This window comes from Homo sapiens, chromosome 8, assembly GCF_000001405.40.
Source record: "Homo sapiens chromosome 8, GRCh38.p14 Primary Assembly".
Lineage (NCBI taxonomy): Eukaryota > Metazoa > Chordata > Mammalia > Primates > Hominidae > Homo > Homo sapiens.
The window spans coordinates 12,895,807-12,901,777 of NC_000008.11; the positions used below are offsets into that span (position 1 = coordinate 12,895,807).

Consider the following 5,971-nt stretch of genomic DNA (forward strand, 5'->3'; position numbering starts at 1 on the left):
GGGAGAAAAAGGAATGAATGCCAACCCTGCCACTCACTTGCTGGTTATAGACCTTGGGAAAGGCCCCGTCTTTTGGTCCTTAGCTTCCTCATAGTCATCGAACTATAATTTAAAAACTCAGGCTGAGCACAGTGGTTCATGCTTATGGTGCCAGCGCTTTGGGAGGCTGAGGCAAGAGGATCACTTGAGCCCAGGAGTTTGAGGATGCAGTAAGCCGTGATCATGCCACTTCACCCCAGCCTGGGTAACAGAGAGAGACCCTGTCTCAATAAAACAAAACAAAAAAACAAAAATCAATTCTGTCCTAAATAAGATTAAAAATAATCATCAGTAAACACTAACGAACAAAAACTCATTTGCTCCTTTATCCGAAATGACCATCACAAAGACATTGGCAGTGTCACGAGCTCAGGGAAGCCCCCCCTATGTATAGGAAACGAAGAAGGAATGAAGCCTGGCTTTGCCTGGTGGCTCTTGTAGGGCATGGGTTCAGGTGAACCCTGGAGCTCTCTGTGCTGATCTCAAAAGCTACTCTGAACAGTGATGAGTCTGCAGTGCCAGAGCAAAGGGGCTTTATGGGCAGCTCAGTTTCAGGTACACAGTAGTTTCTGGGATTTTAGAAACAAGACATCCGATACCAACCACCAGGCAAGAGGAAGCTTTTTTCTGCTTTCCTCCTCTCAAGCTGACCTGAGAGTGGGATGCATCTGTGACCTGTGAGTCAGAGAACCAGGCTCATTATTTCTGCTCTATAAAAAACCTCCAGAATTCTGATTATTTTCACTGTGCTTTTATACAGTTGACCATAAAATGCCTAAAGAGAACTAAACCCACGCTAATTCTCAGTACTAAGTGGATGTACTTGATGTCTAAAAAGGAGCATTTTTCTGTGCTCCAGGGTATAATGAGCAGTTCAACATCAAGGTGAAGGATCAGTGATTAAAGAATCCCGAAATATGTACATTTAATTAGCATTAACTGCAAACTCACCATATCCTACGTAGCACTGATATTAGACCACAAACCGCAAACAACAGAATAAATAAATCACGAGCAAAGCAACCTGACAACCAACGAACCAATCAACAAAACAGAAAACAAGAAAGGATCAAAACAAAGTTTTAGCAGATTATATTTAGAGCAAATGTACTGTGACTTAATAACATGGTTACAAAATGAAGCTATTTGAAAAATAAAATCGCTGCCTGTAAAAATATTTTTAATATTACAGTTAGGGCTGCCATGGTTACAAATTTAACTAATCTTACAGAAAGTAACATTAGAGTTGCCAAATGAAAGTCAATATGCTTTTGTAATTCTCCTGGGAATTACTTTCTGAGGCTTCTTAGTGTTACCAATGCTGAAGTCTTGCTTAATTGATAATTTCCTAGACAGACCTCAGAGTAACTGATAGATGAATGTGATTTTGTACAGTTGATTTGCTCATTTCTCATATTTTTAAAGAGGGCTCACTAGGCATGAAGCCCTCGGAACCAGAGTCTCAGGCCTGAATTCTGGATCTACTTCCACTAATTTTGATTTTGAGCTAGTCACATCACCTTTCTGAATGTAAATTCCTTCATTTTTTAAGTTATAGAATGATGTTAGAGCATCTTTAGGTAACTTATATTCTCAGATTACCTGATTCCATGCCACACAGAGGTAATTCAATGATTCTCTATAATAGATTGGGCACTACAGAAACTCCATTAACTCTTTCTGGCCACAAGACAACCTTGTTGTAAACTGCAACTACCAAATACAGTTAATTGTGCATGTGAGATTCCCATATCAACACTCAATGATAGAAATTATTTTGTTGAAATGTAGAAACACAACTTATTTGTGAAAAGTAATAATAATAACCCTGGCTATAAAGCTTGTGGTCCTCTTCATTAACATTAAAAATGTAATACAGGGCCCAGCACAGTGGCTCATGCCTGTAATCCCAGCACTTTGGGAGGCCAAGGCGGGCAGATCACTTGAGGCCAGGAGTTCAAGACCAGCTTGGGCAACATGGCGAAACCCCATCTCTACCAAAAATACAAAAATTAGCCAAGCATGGTGGCGCTTGCCTGTAGTGCCAGCTACCTGGGAGGCTGAGGCATGAGAATCGCTTGAATCAGGGAGGTGGAGGTTGCAGTGAGCCGAGATCATGCCACTGCACTCCAGCCTGGACCACAGAGTGAGACCTTGTCTCAAAACAAACAAACAAACAAACAAAAAAAAAACAGTAGCATTATAGAAATATCAGCAAGTTTTCTGTCTAATGAAGTAATAATGGCCTACATGATAGCTGTCAGCTCATTCCAAACTAATTTTTTATGACTCCTAGGTTAAAGATTAATTTTGCTATTCATTGTATGCTCAATGTCTACTCATTGTAAAGTAAAAATCCACCAAATTAGTTTACAAATAGATAATAAAGTCAATTAATATTCTGTCACCTGGTTACTTGTCAGGCTTATCAATAACATAGGTTTGAGAAATTATTTGCGATAGTATGAAAGTAAGTCTCTCTTTACCCTAACTTTTTAAATGTAATAATAAATATTACTCTTACAAATAATATAATATAATTTTATTTTACCTGACAGTGGCTAACTTCTCTTCAGAAAAATTTAGCAAAGGTTTGATAGGTGAGGCGTTTGGCTCCCACCTGTAATCCAAGTACTTTGGGAGGTCGAGGTGGGTGGACTTCTTGAGCCCAGGAGTTCAAGACCAGCCCGGGCAACTGGGCAAAACTCCATCTCTACAAAAAATAAACAAAACTTAGCTAGGTATGGTGGCACACACTTACATGGGAGGATTGCTTGAGCCCAGAAGGTCGAGGCTGCAGTGAGCCAAGATCGTGCCACTGCACTCCAGCCTGGGTGACAGAGTGACCCTGTCTCAAAAAAATCAAAGCAAAGTATTCTAATACCCTATCTAGGAATAATCCCAGAGAAAATCTGCCCATTGATAGGTTCGTGTTCTGTCCAGAAATGACAGGCATTAGCAAGTTGGATGTCATGTCACCCTCTAGACAAAAATCTCAACTTATTTTTAGACAAAAGGACAATAGCTGAGGTTTAGGCATATTTAATATATATTTATATTTCTTTTTTTTTTTTTTTTTTTTTTGAGACGGAGTCTTGCTCTGTTGCCCAGGCTGGAGTGCAGTGGTGCGATCTCGGCTCACTGCAAGCTCCGCCTCCCAGGTTCACACCGTTCTCCTGCCTCAACCTCCCGAGTAGCTGGGGCTACAGGCACCCACCACCACGCCTGGCTAACTTTTTTGTATTTTTTTTTTTAGTAGAGACAGGGTTTCACCGTGTTAGGCAGGATGGTCTCCAACTCCTGACCTTGTGATCTGCCTGCCTCGGCCTCCCAAAGTGCTGGGATTACACGTGTGAGCCACCATGCCCAGCCATTTATATTTCTTTACCTTCGTGTATGTAATAACTTCTGTTGCAGGTTATAATAGAAGGTTATCACAGATTCCATTCTGTGACAGACTTTGTAGCTCTTAGTTAATCACATCCTTCAAATTTTATTTACACACATGATGCCTAAGAACAAAGGACAAAGAGCTAATCTATACCACCTGTATTTATGATAAATTATGAGGAAAAATGTTTATCTGATACTATGCACCAGACACCTCCTAATTCCTTGCTAATTGAACTCTTGCTATCTGAATATGTGTTACATGCTAAAAAGCCTATCAAAATGAAGCAGAAATCCTGCTATAATGAATCCAGGTGCGCATGTCAGTGGAAACATTGAAATTATGTGCAAGATACATGCAGGTACACACATACACATGCACAAACATATATCTGTATGACTGTATATACATACATCAATATCCTGGCTTGGTCTGCTGAGACAGCCTAGAATCAATGAGATCTCAGTAGCAATGAGCTTACACCTAGCACCCAGAAGGTGATTTCTTTTTTTTTTTTTTTTTTTTTTTTTTTTTTCCGAGACGGAGTTTCGCTCTTGTTGCCCAGGCTGGAGTGCAATGGCGCGATCTCAGCACCGCAACCTCCGCCTCCCGGGTTCAAGCGATTCTCCTGCCTCAGCCTCCCGAGTAGCTGGGATTACAGGCATGCGCCACCACGCCCGGCTAATTTTGTGTTTTTAGTAGAGATGGGGTTTCTCCATGTCAGTCAGGCTGGTCTCCAACTCCCGACCTCAGGTGATCAGCCCACCTAGGCCTCCCCAAGCGCTGGGATTACAGGCATGAGCCACCGCACCTGGCTCGGAAGGTGATTTCTTAAAAGCACTGCCTACCCTTTTTTTCTCAAACATCAGGATAAAGACCTGAAATGTATGATTCCATTTCCCCTTTGCTCCGCAGGTAGACAAAGAATAAATGGAGGCTAAGAAATGCAACGAGGATAACGAGCTCGTAAACAGCAGATGTTTGAATGCAGCTCTATCTGACTCCAAAGCTCAGCCTGTTCCACACTAGGCCATGATAACCTCTCATGAGTGGAGCTTCTGTCTTGCTTCAAATCAGCATGGATGAACTAATGTTGCTACATGTGTTCATTATTTGCTTCACAATCAGCGATTCCTCCCAATATTCATGGGCAATCGCATTATCCTAATGATTATAAAGAATGAGAGGAAGCTAGTATAGCAAAAGCTTGTATTTAGAAGTAATTTATATGAGATCTGGCATTTTATTCAGCTTCCAAGATCGCTGAAGCTATTGGATTAAATATGAATCACAAGAAAGAAATTATGAACTTGGGATAAAGCAGGCTCTTTTCAGAAATCCAACACAGTGAGTAGGATTCAAAATCTTCCTTACTTCTTTTTGAAGCAAGCCATAAGTCTCACTTAACCTTTCATGGATTTCACGTGAACAAGAAATAGACTTCTGTTAAGTAACCAGGATTTGGGGGTTATGTGTTGCAGCAGTTATCCCTCCATAATTAATAGAGAAATTTGTGCCTATAAGTGGAGTGCTGCTTTAACAAAAACCTAAAAGCTTGTCTTAGAGTTCAGGCAGTGGGAGGTGAGGACATTGCCATATGAGGATGGAGACCAACAAACTGGAGATCTGTGCTGTGCAGGGCAGAACATTTAATCACTACCTGTGATAACCCAGAAGGCAGCCTGCTAGCCCGCTGAGGCAAAGAGGTTGGAAAATAAGAATGTTAGTGGTGAGCGTTGGTCATTACAGGCTGTGATTAGCATAACAGTAGAGGAAAGAGGTAAATTGGCCAATTTTAAAGCAGAAATAAGAGGGAATACAATTGTGGGTTCCACGTCAGAGGATTCAACCAATGATAGATCAGAAATATTCTTTAAAACCCTCCAAAATAAAAAATAACAGTGTAACAATAAAAAGGGATACAAATAAAAAATGATACAGTATAACAACTACTTACATGGCATTTACATTGTATTAGGTATTATAGGTAATATAGGGATGATATAGAGATTATTTAAAGTATAAAGGAGGATAGGCATAGGTTATATGAAAATACTATACCATTTTATATCAGGGACTTGAGCAACTGAGAATTTTAGTATCCTAGGGGGTCCTGGAACTAATCCCCTCACAGATGGACGACTATAGTCTAGAAATGTAGAGCCTTGCAGAGTTGGAAAAGTTGACTATTTCTAGACCACAAACAGTAACAAGTAAAACTCGAAGGAAAGATTTTGAATGACAAAGGCTCAGTAATTCCAAGTCTCAACCAGCCTTTATATTAGTATTAACATAGAAAATATAGAGAGGTGAATTTCCAAGTAAAAAGTTGTTATTTAGGCATAATATATAAGAAGAAGGATTGAAATCCAGGACATAAATATGGATGGTGGTGGCTTCTAGTATGTCCAGAGAACAAAAGATAAGGTTAAGTTTTTCTTGGGGAAATAGGAGGTGTGTAAATTGTTTGGAAAGAAAGCTTATTGGCATTGGCAAAGTCTTACAAGGGCTGGCGAGTTTTGATTGGCAAATGTTGGAAGT

At 40.2% G+C, this 5,971-nt stretch overlaps 1 annotated feature.

Moving 5' to 3' along the window:
- Positions 4,921-5,422: an enhancer, noted in NCBI's record as "NANOG hESC enhancer chr8:12758236-12758737 (GRCh37/hg19 assembly coordinates)". NCBI's record gives its function as "activates a minimal SCP1, AML or CMV promoter by ChIP-STARR-seq in primed H9 embryonic stem cells {active_cell/tissue: H9 hESC(primed)}" and the evidence as "EXISTENCE:reporter gene assay evidence [ECO:0000049][PMID:30033119]".